This window comes from Homo sapiens, chromosome 8 (genome assembly GCF_000001405.40).
Source record: "Homo sapiens chromosome 8, GRCh38.p14 Primary Assembly".
In the NCBI taxonomy this organism is placed as follows: Eukaryota; Metazoa; Chordata; class Mammalia; order Primates; family Hominidae; genus Homo; species Homo sapiens.
Window position 1 is genome coordinate 99,186,442 of NC_000008.11, and position 16,784 is coordinate 99,203,225.

At 34.3% G+C, this 16,784-nt stretch overlaps 1 protein-coding gene across 3 annotated transcripts in view; it reads left to right on the plus strand.

The window, feature by feature from the left end:
• The window catches only part of VPS13B (vacuolar protein sorting 13 homolog B), an 864,307-nt gene that overhangs the window by 173,168 nt on the left and 674,355 nt on the right, over window positions 1-16,784 (plus strand). For all 3 annotated transcript variants that reach the window (NM_152564.5, NM_017890.5, NM_015243.3), the window contains exon 17: window positions 6,435-6,616. In NM_152564.5, coding sequence (NP_689777.3) covers window positions 6,435-6,616 — 182 coding nt within the window. The remainder of the gene's footprint in view (window positions 1-6,434; window positions 6,617-16,784) is intronic.

Below are 16,784 nucleotides of genomic sequence, written 5' to 3' on the forward strand. Positions count from 1 at the left end.
TAATGTTATGTCTTGATGAATTGGTAATAGATACATTGAGTATTTGTTATTTTCTACATTTGTTAACCAGTTACAAATATTTCAAAATTGACAAAAACAAAAGAGAAAAACCCCTCTTCATTGGTATTGTTACATTAACAGATAATTGTGTAAGATACCATCTATACCCAAATCATTTTAAATTTATTTATGTCAGTTTAAATACTACTGGAGTATCTAACAGAAGTATAAATAGAATGTATTTTTATTTGTTGTGGGTTACAGCTGAAAAATAAACCACAAAGACATATCCTGTGTGTATAATTGGCGTGTTTATTATTGAATTCTAACTTTTGTACAAAGTAAGCTTCTCCTTTGATATTAAAATAATTAAGGAGAGAATTTTTCCCTACCCTTGGGCATTACTAAAATGTACAATATATTAATCTTTCTGAATTTGCATGTGTTTAAGTTTTTATTCAAGTCTATGTTATCCATTTGGGAACATTTTAGGTGATATAAGCTGGCTTGAAAGGGTACCATATACGGTAGCTGAATTTATTATGAAATAGTAAAGACCTGCTTGTAAAAAAAATGAATCCCATCTATAATATTGCCATACAAATACTTACTGCTGTAGTTATATGAACATGGCTCTTGCTACACGATAGGACCTCCTAATTGCCACAGAGTGCCTGAAGATAGATTAATTGTACATTTTCGTATTATAGGAGATATTCCAAATATCTGTGTTCTTTACTACTTATCACTAATAAAATGTTGTGGGTTTTTTGGTGCAGGGGCGGGGGGCGGTTCAGGAATTTGAACAGAAATTTGAGAACATAGTGGAGAGACCTAGTTAACTATTTTAAAATGCTTATAGAATAAAAAGGAAAATGAGAAAGAAAAGAAAATGTCTTTAAAAATATTCTAAATGTTGGAAAAGCGAAAGGAAATAATAAGGATAATTACATTCAGATTTATGAATTGAGTCATATTTGTTTATCCTTCTATTTCTTTTGATCTCTACTACTTTACCTGTTTGGCATAAGGGATCTTTTATTTACTGCATATTTATTTTCTGGTCCATTCATTCCAATCCTTTGGCTTTTATAGCCAAATATGATCAGAATTGTGGATTGAGGGACACAGGTAGTGTCACATGTTGCTATTAAGGATTTGAAAGTTGTTGGATGGGATAGTGGCTTTCTTATTGGGCAACTGTGTATTTGATTGATCTTACATACTAATTAAGAGAGATGGGTAGGCCGGGTGCAGTGACTCATGCCTGTAATCCCAACACTTTGGGAGGGTGAGGCAGGATGATTGCTTGAGCCCAGGAGTTTGAGACCAGCCTGGGCAACTAAGTGAGATCCTGTCTCTATAAAAAAATAAAAATTAGCCGGGCATGCTGGTATGCACCCATTGTCCCAGTTACTCGGGTGACTGAGGTGGGAGGATTGCTTAAGCCTGGGAGATGGAGGCTGCAGTGAACCGTGATCATGCTACTGCATTCCAACCAGGGCTAGAGTGAGACCCTGTCTTAAAAAGAGAGAGAGAGAGTGACGGAGACAGAGACAGAGACAGACAGAGGCAGGGGTGACCCTAGGCTTTTGTTTTTGTTGTTTGGACATTTTTTTTTTTTTTTTTTTTGTGAGGGAAGGCATTGGTATTTGAATCAGTTTTGCTAAGAACAGAGTTCTAATACTTTAGGGACCTAGTTTGTTTTCATTGAGCTAAAATTTACAACATAAATTTCATCATTTTAAAGTGTACAATTAAGTGGTTTTTACTATATTCACAGTTTTGTGCAGTCATCACCACTATCTAATTCCAGAACATTTTCAAAACCTCAAAAAAGAAATTCTGTCTCTATGAGTCTAGACATTTTATAATAACAGAATAATATAATATGTGACTTTTTGGTCTGACTTCTTTCAGTTAATGTAATATTTTAAAGGTTCATCCATGTTATATAGCATGTATCAGTATTTAATTTTTTATCACTGAATAATATTCCTTTGTATGGATCGAATACATTTTGTTTATTCATCAGTTGGGGTACATTTGTGTTGTTCTCATTTTTTGGCTAAGAATAGTGCCGCAATGAACATTCTTGTGCAATTTTTTGGTATGAACATGTTTTCAGTCCTCTTGGGTATGTATATACCTATGAATATAATTGCTGGGTCATATGATAACTCAATGTTCATCTTTTTTACAAATTGCCAAATTGTGTTTTACATAGTAACTATACCTCTGTGCGTGATGTTCCAATTTCTACCTATTCAGGCCATACTTGTTATTTTCTGCTTATTTTTATTTTTTAAAATTACATCCCTTCTGATGGGTATGAAGTGGTATCTTGTGGTTTTGATTTTCATTTCCCTGATGTCTAATAATGTTGAGCATTTTTTCATGCGCTTATTGGCCATTTGTATATCTTCTTTGTCAAGTGTCTTTTCAGGTCCTATGTTCACTTTAAAAATTGGGCTGTGTATCTTGTTCTTGTTGAATTATGAGAGTTATGAATTATGAGAGCGATCTCGGCTCACTGCAAGCTCCGCCTCCCGGGTTCACACCATTCTCCTGCCTCAGCCTCCCCAGTAACTGGGACCACAGGCACCTGCCACCACGCCCGGCTAATTTTTTGTATTTTTAGTAGAGAGGGGGTTTCATCATGTTAGCCCGGCTAATTTTTTGCATTTTTAGTAGAGAGGGGGTTTCACCGTGTTAGCCAGGATGGTCTCGATCTCCTGACCTCGTGATCCACCTGCCTCGGCCTCCCAGAGTGCTGGGATTACAGGCGTGAGCCACCGCGCCCGGCCAAAGTTCCCTTATATTCTTTTAAGGATGAATTGTGCACATAAATTGACTATGTATACTAGGCTGTTGTAAACAGGGTAGGAAGGATAATAGAAAGTCTGGGAAATTCTGGAGAATTTCATTTTACTTCTTCGTAGCTGCACATTCCTTTATCTATTTGAATGCCCATAGAATTTTTTCCTTATCATTTTTGGAGTTCAGTGGCTTTACTAGGATAATGATCATTCAGAATCAGTATTGTTTGTGACACATTGTGCACGTTGTAGTTTAGGTGTTTATTTTAGACAAGATTTTTTTTTGATAAATATTTCTGTATACTATTTCTTTTCTATTTGTTTTCCTCTTTTCTTTAGGAACACTGATTATGTATATTTTATATTGCCCTTTCCTGTTACTGATATCAGTGTCCTTTTCTAATATTGTTTTATAATTTTTCAAAATTGTTATTTTTGTATTTCTAGATTTTATCTACCACGTTCCTAATTTGAGTTATATTTTATTTGTTGAACTTCTGGCTATTTGGAGATTTATACATAACTTTATGATATTAGTTTATAGTTTAAATCCATTGTGATCAGCACATATATTGTATATGATTTCAGCCTTTTTCATTCTACTTAGACTTGCTTTTATGTTCTTGTAGTATGCCTTGGTGAATGTGTACTCTGCTGTTGTTGGGTGGGGTGTCCTACAAATGTCAGTTAGGCCAAGTTGATTGATAGTACTGTTTTTGTTTTTAATTCTTTACTTACGGTCTATTTGTTTTATCAATTCCTGAGAGAGGAGTGTTGAAATGTTCAGGTTTTGGATTTGTCTATTCCTGTTTTCAGTTCTGTATTTTAAAAAATGTATGTATTTCGGAGATGTGTAGTGCCTACAAACTTAATTAACCATGTTATCATTATGAAAAAAATCTCTCTATATCCATGGTAATAGTCTTTGTTCCAGAGTTTACTTTGTCTAATGTTAATGTGTAACTCTTTTTTGATTAGAATTATGTGGTGTTTGTTTTGCTCGTTCGTTTACTCCTTCATGCCCCTATCCCCTTAATTTTTAACCTATCTACTTTATTATTTAAAGTGGATATATATGGGTCTTTTTTTTTTTAATATAATCGAAGAATCTCTTCCTTGAATTGGTATGCTTAGACGTTTGAGACTTAATACTATATTTTGGGGTTTAGTTCTAGTATCTTGCTGTTTGTTTTCTAGTTGTCCCATCTATTGTTTGTTTTCTTTTTTCTTTTCATAACTTTATTTAGATTCATTCCGTTTCATCCTCTCTATTCCATTCTTATTCCACTCTGTCTACACTATTGCCTTTATTAGTTTTACCTTTTAGTTTTATGGCTTTAGTTGTTCTAGGGTTTACAGTTTACATCTTTTACTTATCACAGCTACCTTCAAATAATGTTATACTGTGTCATACATTGTGTAAGAACCTCCATTTCCCTCTTCCTGTCCTTGGCTATTGACATTGTGCATTCTACTTTTACATATGTCATAAACTCTGAACTATGTTGTTATGATTTTTGCTTTAAACAGTTAATTCTTAATCTTATTAGAAGATAATGTTTCTTTCTTCTTCTTTTTTTTTTAAAAAATTCACCCATATATTTACCATTCCCATTCTCTTCACATTTCTTTGTGTAGAGCCACAAATATTTCCATCTGGTATCACATTCATTTAGCCCGAAGAATTTTCTTTAACATTTTTTGTAGTACAGATATGCTGGTGAGGAATTCTTCCCAGCGTTTAGTCATAAAAAAGCTCTTTTGCTAACATTTTTGAAAGTTTTTTTTTTCCTGAATTTTGGATTCTAGGCTGACAGTTTTCCTTTTTCTTTCAGCATTTCAGTCATGGTATTCTGTTGTCTTCTGTTCTGCATGATTTCTGATGAGGAGTCTGCTTTCATTTTGTAGCTTTGTTTCTTTACATGTGATGTGTTTTTCTCCTTAACACTAGTTTTCAGCAATTTGATTATAATATGCCTTGGTATGTTTTTAATTCTCTTCTGCTTGGGGTTTGCTGAATTTCTTGGATATTTGGGTTTATAGTTTTCTTCAAATTGCTTGATAGTGTCCCACGTCCCATTAAAGCTTTGTTCAGTTATTTTAGTCTCTCTCTCTCTTTTTTTTTTTTTTTTTTTTTTTTTGAGACGGAGTCTGTCTCTGTCGCCCAGGCTGGAATGCAGTAGCGCGATCTCGGCTCACTGCAATTTCTGCCTCCTGAGTTTAAGCAATTCTCCTGCCTCAGGCTCCTGAGTAGCTAGGATTACAGGCACATGCCACCACGCCCAGCTAATTTTTGTATTTTTGCTAGAGACGGGGTTTCACCATGTTGGTCAGGCTGGTCTCGAACTCCTGACCTTGTGATCCGCCCGCCTCGGCCTCCCAGAGTGCTGGGATTACAGGTGTGAGCCACCGCGCTGGGCCTATTTTAGTGTTTTATCTTTCCTGGTCCTCGATTTCCTGGGAACTCCTCAGAGACTAGTCAGCTAGTGGGAGAAGAGAGGGAAGCATTTGTTCCTACATTTCCATCTTCTGCATATATGATTGCAAAGTAGTTTGCTGGTGTCTCATGCTGCATGGTGGCTTTAGGCAATGCAAATGAAAGTGTACATTGAATTGGTCTCCATAGCAGCGGCCAGAATATGAGGTAGGGTGATATACAAGAGAAGTTCTGTACTCTCCATGTGTGGTTACAGTTGGGAAAATGACAAATGGTGGAGGGTTTGTGGGGTTAAGGAAAGAGCAGGTTACATACAGTATACTATAGTAGCATCCTGATTTTTTTTAATCTATTTTTGTTTTATTGTTCTTCTATTTTATCTTGCATGTTTATTAACCTTCAGTATAAACTTGTTGCTCACAGACATATTGAAATGTTTTCTTACTTTGAGGCTTTGTTATTTAGAAAATTTAATTACATAATTCACTTTATTCATAGACAAAACCAAATGAATAAGGGATCAACAAATTAGATATTCCAGGGCAGAAATTTTAAAAATAATTTTCCATGTTACTATCAAGTAGAGTCCTGCATGTAATGTAAATACTTCATAAATACTTCTGAGAGAAAGTATTAGGATAGAGGGCTGTGGATCAGGTTGCCTGGATTTAAATTCTAATTTTTCCTCTTTTTAGTAGTATGACATTTCATACCTTAATATATCGGTGTGTGTCTTGGTTTTCCCATTTGAAAAACTAGTATAATGATAGTACCTCCCTCATAGAGTTATTATGGAAGGATTCAACGTGTTAACAGATAAAAGAAATCTAGAACAATGCAGGTTTGCTAGTAAATCCTTTCTAAGTGTTAAGAAGCACTATTTTTATTTTTACTCAGGATGATTGCCTTGATTATGTAGTAATTGCTTGAGCAGTATATGTGTAGGTGAATATGTGTGTATGGACATCATTCTAGTTTGTATTTTTATATTATTCAGAGTTTCTGAAATAGTGGAACTTAAAGTTAGCAGAATTGCATATCTATTTTGTTTAAGTAGTATGTTTGCATACATACTTTGGATGTATACCCTTTCTTCCCTTGCAACCTAAGTCATTTAGTATTTTGTTGTCTGTAAATGCTATTTACTGTATTGCGATTCTTTCTGTTTTCTTGTGCAGGACCAAAAGATCTCAGATTGCTATAACTGAAGGTATATTTGAACTTCCAAATCTCACAATTCAAGCTACAAGAGCACAGACACTTCTCTTGCAAGCAATATATCAAAGTTGGTCTCATCTTGGAAATGTCAGCTCTTCCGCAGTGATTGAAGCTTTGATAAATGAAATCTTCCTAAGTATAGGTAAGAGCACAGTCTTTTTGATAACTATATGGAAAATTTGTGTTAGAGGCAACTAATATTTTATTATGAAAATCCATATGTCTAGCATGGTCAACTTAAATTGTAATATGTTTCTTTGAATGTAGATATTTATAGCTTATGTTTAAAATCCAGATTATGAGTTAAGCCATCCAGTTTTATTTCCTCGTACCTATTTCTGCATATGTTTCATAATTGCAAAAGATTATTTTTCACCAGCTTCTTGTATAATTTACCCTTTGGATAACTTTTGAGGGTATCAATGTATGTGTTTGAAATGATAACCAAATTAAGTATAAGTACAGTATGTTTGATTATACTGGTAAAATGAAATAAATTCTTACTCATAATATTTGGTTAGTTTGGTAAACAATTTTTGTGTGTGTGTGTGAAAAGCATTAATCTGGCACCCTTAAGGAGTTAATTAACTACTAAAAATACAAATTTCTGCTTTCATATCACTATAAGAGATATCTTCATCTTATCACTCAGTTTGCATGTAAACAAAAAATTATAGAAGCTTTTTAAAGTTGTTTCAGTTCAAAATAATAATGTTATGTTTGTCAGTAACACAAAAGTAGTTTTTAAAGGTTATAATTTAAGTGTAATTATGCTTAAAGTAACATTATTTTTAATTTATCTGTTAAAATAAAGCGACTTTTGTTCTTATATGATGCTTTTGAAGGTTTTAATTTCAGACCTGACATCATAATTAGAGTTTTCTTATTTGGCCTAGCCATTAACTAATGTAAAATACAGGTTGATTATCCCTTATCCAAAGTGCTTGGTACCAGAGTGATTCAAATTTCAGATTTTTTTCAGATTTGGAATGTTTGCACATACATAATGAGATATACTGGAGATGTGACTCAAGTCTAAATATGAAATTCATTTACATTTCATATACACCTTATACACATAGTCTGAAGGTAATTTTATACGATATTTTTAATAATTTTGTGTGACTTAATCACATGAGGTCAGGCGTGGAATTTTCTACTTGTATCATGTCAGTGCCCAAAGAGTTTTGAATTTTGAAGCATTTCAGATTTTGGGTTTTCAGATTAGGGATGTTCAAGTTGTAGTAGTTTTGGTGCTGGCTTTTAGCATTATATAAAGAATAACAAGATAAATGTTGCAGTAGGCTAGAGGTTCTTCACTCGGAGCTTATGAAAAGACTTAGAGTTTTCTGAACCCCCTGAAGTAGTATGCAAATTTTAGTGTGTATATAAACACACACAGACATACATATTTGTATCCTCTTTTTGAATTGAACTTACTGCTCCTGTCTAACTGAAACTTTGTACCCTCTGAACAGGATCTTCCTGTTACATACCCACCCCCACTCCATTCCGCCTACGTTTGGTAACCACCGTTCTACTCTAACTACCATTCTACTCTCTACTTCTATGAGTTTGACTTTTTTAGATACCACATTTAAGTGAGATCCTGCAGTACCTGGCTTATTTCACTTAGTATAATGTCCTCCAGGTTCAACTGTGTTGTCTTAAACGACAGAATTTCCTTCTTTATTTAAGGCAGAATAGTAATCTATTGCGGATATATGCCATATTTTCTTTATCCATTCATCCCTTGATGGATACTTATACTGATTTCATATCTTGGCTATTGTACAGTGAACATGGCTGTGCAGATATCTCTCTAACATGATTTCATTTTCTTTGGACATATACCCAGAAGTGGGATTGCTTATATTTTTAGATTTTTGAGGAGCTTCAATACCGTTTTCCATAATGGTTGTATTAATTTTCTTTTTTCTTTTTTTTGTGAGATGGAGCCTTGCTCTGTTGCCAGGCTGGAGTGCAGTGGCGCGATCTCGGCTCACTGCAACCTCCGCCTCCCAGGTACAAGCAATTCTCCTGCCTCAGCCTCCCGAGTAGCTGGGACTACAGGTGTGCACCACCACACCCAGCTAATTTTTTGTATTTTTAGTAGAGACGGAGTTTCACCATGTTGACTAGGATGGTCTCTATCTCTTGACCTCATGATCTGCCTGCCTCAACCTCCCAAAGTGCTGGGATTATAGGCGTGAAGGTTGTATTAATTTTCATTCCCACCAATGGTATTCTCTTTTTCTCCACATCCTTGCTAACACTTATCTTTCATCATTTTGAGAATGGCCATTCTAACAGGTATGTGGTTATATCTCATTGTGAATTTAATTTACATTTCTCTAGTAATTAATGATGTTGAGTATGTTTTCATATACTTGTTGGCCATTTGTATGAACCATTTATATGTTGGCCGTTTGCATTGTTCAGGAACCCGTTGGCCATTTGTCATCTTTTGAGAAATGTCTGTTCAGGTCCTGTGCCCATTTTAAAATTGAGTTATTTGTTTTCTTATTATTGAGTTGAGTTCCTTAGATATTTTGGATAACAACTCTTTATCAGAGGGATGGTTTGTAAATTTTTCTCCCAGTTTCTGTGTTCTTCCTTCATTCTGTTAATTGTTTCTTTTGCCGTGCAGAAGTTTTTGTTTGATGCAGTCCCATTTTTCTGTTATTGCTTTCATTTCCTGTGCTTTTAGGGTTATAGTCAATGCCCAGACCAATGAAGCTTTGTCCATAAGTTTCTTCTAGTAGATTTACGTTTCAGATCTTATATTTAAGTCTTTAATCCCTTCTGAATTGGTTTTTCCTCATGGTGTTAGATAAAGATTCAATCTCATTGTTCTGCATGTAGATATCCAGTGTTCCCAGCAGCATTTATTGAAGAATCTGTTCTTTCCCCATTGTATATTCTTGGCATCTTCATCAAAGATCAATTGTCCATAAATGTGTGGGTTTATTTTGGATTCTGTCTTGTTTTGTAGGTTGATGTGTCTGTCTTCATGCCAGTACCATGCTGTTTTGATTGCTATAGCCTGTTAGTATAAAGTCAGATAGTGTGATTTCTTCAGCTTTATTCTTTTTTGTTTAATATTGCTTTTGTTCTTTGAGGTCTTTTATTCCATATGAATTTAAGGATTTTTTTACTGTTTTTGTGAAAAATGACATTGGAATTTTGATAGGGGTCGCATTGAATTTGTATATTGCTTTGGGTAATATGGACATTTTAACATTAATTCTCCAAGTTCATTAGCACAGAACATCTTTCCATTTATTTGTGTTTTTTTTTAGTTTCTTTTATCAGTGTTTTATACTTTTTAGTATACAGACCTTTCATATCCTTGGTTAACTTTATATCCACATATTTTTGTTTTTGCTGTTATAAATGGGATTGTTTTCCTAAATTTTTTTTGGATAGTTTTAGTTTTGGACATGTTAATGCATAAAAATGGTACTGATTTTTACATGTTGATTTTGTATCCCACACCTTTACTGAATTCACTTATCAGTTCTAAAAGTTTTTGGATGGAGTCTTTAGGGGTTTTTTTTTTTTTTTTTTGAGTTGGAGTCTCCATTTGTCACCCAAGCTGGAGTGCAGTGGTGTGATCTTGGCTCACTGCAACCTCCACCTCCTGGGTTTGTAACTGAGATTATAGGCACGTCACCACACCTGGGTAAGTTTTTTGTATTTTAGTAGAGACGGGGTTTCACCATGTTGGTCAGGCTGGTCTTGAACTCCTTACCTCAAGTAATTCACCCACCTCGTCCTCCTAAAATACTGGGATTACACGTGTGAGCCACTATGCCTGGCTGGGATTTTTACGTATAAGATCATATTGTCAACAAGTAGAGGCAATTTAACTTCTTTTTTTTCTATTACAATGCCTTTTCTTTCTTCCTCTTGCTTAGTTTTTCTGAATAGGACTTCCAGTACTGTGTGGAAAAGAAGTAGTGAGAATGAACATTCTTGTCAGGTCCCTCATCTTTAAAGATTTCAGCATTTCACTCTTCCATATGATGTTAGCCATGGGCTTGTTCTGCATGTCCTTTATTGTGTTTAGGTACATTCCTTCTATACCTAATCTATTAGTAGTTTTGATCACGAGAGGCTGTTGAATTTTGTCAAATGCCTTTTCTGCATCTATTGAGATGATGATATGACTTTTGTCCTTTATTTTGTTAATGTGGTGTATCATATTTATTGACTTGTATTTGTTGAACCATCCTTGCATCCCAAGGATAAATACCACTGTATCATGGCAAAAGATTATTTTAATGTGTTGTTGAATTTCATTTAATATTTTGTTGAGAATTTTTACATCTATGTTCACCAGAGATATTGGTCTGTAAGTTTGTTTTCTTGTAGTGCCCTTGTCTGGCTTTGGTATGAGGATAATGCTAGCCTTCTAAAATGAGTTTGAAAGTATTCTCTCTTCAGATTTTTGGAAGAGTTTGAGAAGTGATCAATATTAGTTGTTCTGGTAGAATTCATCCAGTCCAGAACTTTTCTTTGATGGGGACTTTTTGTTACTGATTCACTCTTCTTACTCATTATTGGTCTACTCGTATTTTCCATTCTTTCATGATTGAGTCTTGATAGGTTAAATGTGTCTGGGAATTTATTAATTTCTTTTAGCTTATCCAATCCATTGGTGTAGCATTGTTCACAGTAGTCGATTCTGATGAGTCTCTATATTTCTGTTGTTTCTATCAGCTGTAATCTCTCCACTTTTATTTTTAATTTTATTTATTTGAGCATGCTCCTTTTTCTTAGTCTATTGAAGGGTTTATCTTGTCAAAAAACCAAATCTTATACTTCAGCTGCATTTGATAGGTTGTGTATTTTGTGTTTCCATTTTCATTTGTCTCAAGATACATTTTGATTTCATCTTTTACCTGTTGGTAATTTAGGAACATGTTGTTTAATTTTCACATATTTGTGGTTTTCCCCAAGATTTCTTTTTGGGGTGGTGAAAATATTCTGTAATTATATAGTTGTGATGGATTCACAACCTTGCGTTAGGTAATCACCATTAATTTGAATGGCAAAAAACACGATTACATTTGCACCAACCTAATATATATGGTAAAATCCACTTAATTACACACTTTGAAAAAATGAGGGTTATGTTATATGAATTTTATCTTCAAAAAACGTTTTAATTTGATGATTATTTAAGTAGACTGTGTTATTGCCAATCTTGTGGCCGTTATTTTATATGGATTTACTATTCAAAATCTTACCTTTTTGATGCCAGCCCATCTATAAGTTAACTCTACAGTAACATCTTCCTTGGCATTAGCACTTATCACTGTGTGAAACTGTCTAATTCATTTATTTGTTTATTTGCTAAATTTCTATTTCCTGTGATATTTTCTTCAGAGTATTTTTTGGTTTATTGTCTCACAATATTAATGTTTTTTTTAAATTTTAAACTTTTATTTTTATTAATTGGCTTAGATAGCCTGAACATTTGTGTTAGTAAGCTCATGAAATTATTATTTGCTTTTATAATTTTTCTTTTTCCTAGCCAAACCTATTCCATTTTTACTTTTCTGAATTTATAAAATGGACTGTGCTATGAAAAAGCATTTTATTTGAAATTTCCTATTCTAAAAATATTCTGTGTTTAAAAGAATGGTGGCATATGTATTGAAAAATTGATTAGGTAAGTGACAACAGATTGTTATTTGTAACCTCAAGTTCTGTCATTTAGAAACCTAAAATTAGTGGAACTAATTTTTGCATATTGAGGAGTTGAAGAAATTAGAATGATGTTAAGACATTTCTTTGCCAAATAATTTTATTTTTATCAAATGGAATGCCTATAAAATTTATAACAGATTAAAGAGAAACCATCAGCTAAGACAGTTTTAAAAAGCCAGATTTCCAGGTGGTCAGTTTTCTTGTCTTTTTTCCCCCCGAGAACAAAACCTCATTCTGTGCTTTGTATTCTTATGGAGTGCTTAAAGGATTGTGCCTTCAAATAGTTCTATCTAAAGATCCACGAAATGTGTATGTATTTAGGGTGTAAAGTTTTAGCATTTTATTATTTTGCGTCTGAGGACTCTCATTACATAGTACTCAGCACTGTTAAGCTTTGTTTAATATGTTTTGTGTAAGTATGTGATCCTTTGCTTTACAACTAGTTTTCATTTCCCACATTAATAAAGAGATTATACAAGCTGTGTACATTTTTGGATCTCTCAGACTTAGGTTCTGATAATGTGTGAAAGAAGAACCATTATTATTATCATTATATATATTTTTTTGAGATGGAGTCTCGCTCTGTCACCCAGGCTAGAGTGCAGTGGCATGATCTCGGCTCACTGCAAGCTCCGCCTCCTGGGTTCATGCCATTTTCCTCCCGAGTAGCTGGGACTACAGGTGCCTGCCACCACACCCGGCTAAGATTTTGTATTTTTAGTGGAGATGGGGTTTCACCGTGTTAGCCAGGATGGTCTCGATCTCCTGACCTCGTGATCCGTCTGCCTCGGCCTCCCAAAGTGCTGGGATTACAGGCATGAGCCACCACACCCGGCCCAGAACCATAATTTTTAAAGTCTACGTTTGACTGTACACCACCTTTCATCATAATCTCATGCCTCTAGCCTACCCTCCTACTTGCTGTCTTAATTCATATTATTGATAGTTACCTACCAACAATATCCAGTTTTTTCCTGTGTATGGCTTTTTCTTCTATCTGGAACCTAATTCTGTTTGATTACATTCTCCTACAGTTTCCTCTCTTCTTTGAGCACTAGCTTTATTTTAACATTAGTCTTTTTCCTTTAATTTAACACTATGCTAATTACAGTCTACTTGTACTTCAGAAAAATTACGTTCTCTTACACATTCCTACCTTTTTTTCAGGTATTCTCCCCTCTTCCATGTCAGAAATATTTTATTCTTTCTTTTCCTTTCCCTTCCTTCTGTTAAGTTTTTAAAAACAGTTTTATTTATATAAAATTTTTGTACCACACTATTTATTCCTTTTCAGGTATGCAGTTTAGTGGCTTTTAATATATTCACAGAGTTGTATATCCATTACCATAATCAATTTTAGAACGTTTCCAGCATCCCTGAATGAATCCTTGCATTCCCTAGCTATCACTCCTGGAGCCTCCCATTTTCCCAGCAATAGGCAAATACTAATCTACTTTTTGTCTGTATGGATGTGCCTATTGTGGATGCTTCATATAAATGAATTACATAAAATGCAGTTCTTTGTGACTGCATATTAGTGCATTTTTCCACTTAGCATACTATTTCAAAGTTTGCCCATATTATAGCATATGTCGGTGCTCATTCCTTTTTATTGCCAAATAGTATTCCATTTTATCCATATACCATATTTTGTTAATTCATTCATCAGTTGATGGACCTTTGCATTGTTTCTACTTCTGAATATTGTGAATAATGTTGCTTTGAATATTCAAGTACAGGTTTTTTTTTGTGAATGTATGCTTTTATTTCTTTTGTGTATATATACCTATAAATATAATTGCTGGGTCATATGGTAATTTTATTTGTAACCTTTTGAGGAGCTGCCAGACTGTTTTCCAAACCAGCTGTACCATTGTACTTTCCATTGGCAATGTGTGATGGTTCTAATCTCTCCACATCCTCCTCATATTGTTATCTGTCTTTTGTGTTCCAGCCATCATTGTAGGTGTGAAGTGGCATCATTATGATTTTCATTTTCATTTCCCTCATGGCTAATGATATTGAGTATCTTTTTGTGTATTTATTAGCTATTTCTATCTCTTCTATGGAGAAATTATTCAAATCCTTTGCTTATTTTAAGATCTGCCTCTTTTTCTTTTAAATTGTGAGATTTCTTTATATATTTTAGATAAAAGTTTCTTATCAGATATGATTTGCAAATGTTTCCTGTAATTTTGTGGGTTGTCTTTTTACTTTTCTGATGGTGACCTTTTGTCTAATTTTTTTCATTACCCTCAAGTACATCTTCTTTACATTGGACCTTGTTATCATTTAGAAATGGTTTATCCCTTTGATACTGATATTGATTCTTGGTCATCATCATTACTTTTAGTCCTTTTATTTTTTTCATTTTTTTTAATATCACAGAATCCTTCTTGGTCTTATTCTTTAGCTTCATTCCCATTGGCCAACATTTTCTATGACACTATAATTTTAGACTATTTTTCTTTCCTTTCTCTGTTTATCTTTGTTTTCTCCATGCCTGTTCTGTCATTCCTGTTTGCAAATAAGAAATGTGTATATGTTTCACTTTTACTACCACCAAAATAACTGTATCTGACCTGAATTAAACTGTTACTGATTTCTGATATTCTTATAAAATGCATGTATATAATTGAGTTCCAGTTTTACCATTTCTTTCATTATAAATTGTGATTTATTAGCGAGTTTTGAAATCAACTTCATTGATTACTACTAAGAATTTGAAAAGACTAGAATAGAAACTTTGTGCCTCAGTCTTCTCATTCTAAATGTTGGACTAATGTGCCACCAAAAGCAATAACAAATTTAACTTCAAGCATCAAAACTGCAAAGTGCTTTTAGTAAGAAAAGTTTTTCTTTGATAAATGCTATATCCAAAAGTAAGAGATAAATTTTGAGTGTTGAATCAGTCACTAATTTCTATTTTGTGAATGAGTTTAAGAGGCTTTAAGAGAATATCTGTGGATGTTGAATTATGTTTTATGATGCTACAATAATGAATCCTTCCTCAGCTCTTGCAAAAATCAAATTAAAAGTATATTAAAATAAAAAAGAAAATGTTATATGCTAGTGCTTGCTAGGGATTTGATTTTGTGCATTGAATTATAGTAATCTTTATGTTACATATAAATACTGGTTTAGTGAATGTCTTACTATTTCTGTTGCGCATTATTTTCACTTTTCAACTATTGACACTTAGGAAAGATCACTGAATTGGAGTGTGAAGATTTTCTCAATAACTATATATGACTAAATAAAGGTCAGTTTGTTTCATTAAGTTTTAGTTAATTTTCTCATCTATAAAATAATGAAAATATGTTTATAGCTGCTCATAGAGTTCTTGCAAATGCCAAATATATTATTGTTTGTGGGCTTAATCTGTTGTTCTTGTCCTAGACATAGACCTTGCTGGAATCATCCATCTAAAGATATTACCTATGGAAGTTGTTCTAGGATATAAAGTTCTTGGAGACTGAGATAACAACAGTCAGAATTGTAGTCTAGGTGATCCGTTATTTTGGTTGCAAGGATGATAGAGTGAAGGTAAATTCAAAGAGTAAGCCAAGAAAGAAAATAGGATAATGAATAGATATTGATGAGAAAAGAATAAAATTCAAGACATTGGTTAGGTCTGGTTGTTTGAACTTAGTGAAGAAAGTGTACATTTGTGCCCTGTTAATGTAGCTATTTACAAGAGGCCTCACTAGGCTCACAGAAATGTATGATGAATAAATATTTTCAGTTCTACAGATTCCCAAGGGGAGGGAGTCAATAGACCTGTGAATGGATGTGACAATGCAATGGGATATCTAGAAGAAATGGGTAAATTCCTGGACACAGCCTCACAAAACTAAGCCAGAAAGAAGTCAAATCCATGAATAGACCCAATAACAATTTCTGAAATTAAGGCAGTAATTAACAGCCTACCAATCAAAAAAAGCCCAGGACCAGATGGATTCACAGCTGAATTCTACCAGAGGTACAAAGAGGAGCTGGTACCATTCCTTCTGAAACTATTCCAAACAACAGAAAAAGAGGGACTCCTCCCTATCTCATTTTATGAGGCCAGCATCATCCTGATACCAAAACCTGGCAGAGACACAACAAAAAAAAATGGGCGTGGTGGCTCATGCCTGTAATCCCAGCACTTTGGGAGGCTGAGGCAGGTGGATCACGAGGTCAGGAGATCGAGACCATCCTGGCTAACACGGTGAAACCCTGTCTCTACTAAAAAAAAAATACAAAAAATTAACTGGGCGTGGTGGTGGGCACCTGTAGTCCCAGTTACTCTGGACGCTGAGGCAGGAGAATGGCGCGAACCCAGGAGGTGGAGCTTGCAGTGGAGCTTGCAGCTTGGAGCCGAGATCACGCCACTGCACTCCAGCCTGGGCGACGGAGCGAGACTGTCTCAAAAAAAAAAAAAAAAGGAAAATTTCAGGCTGATATCCCTGATGAACATCCATGTGAAAATCCTCAATAAAATACTGGCAAACTGAATCCAGCAGCACATCAAAAAGCTTATCCACGACGATCAAGTCGGCTTCATCCCTGGGATGTAAGGCTGGCTCAACATAATGCAAGTCAATAAA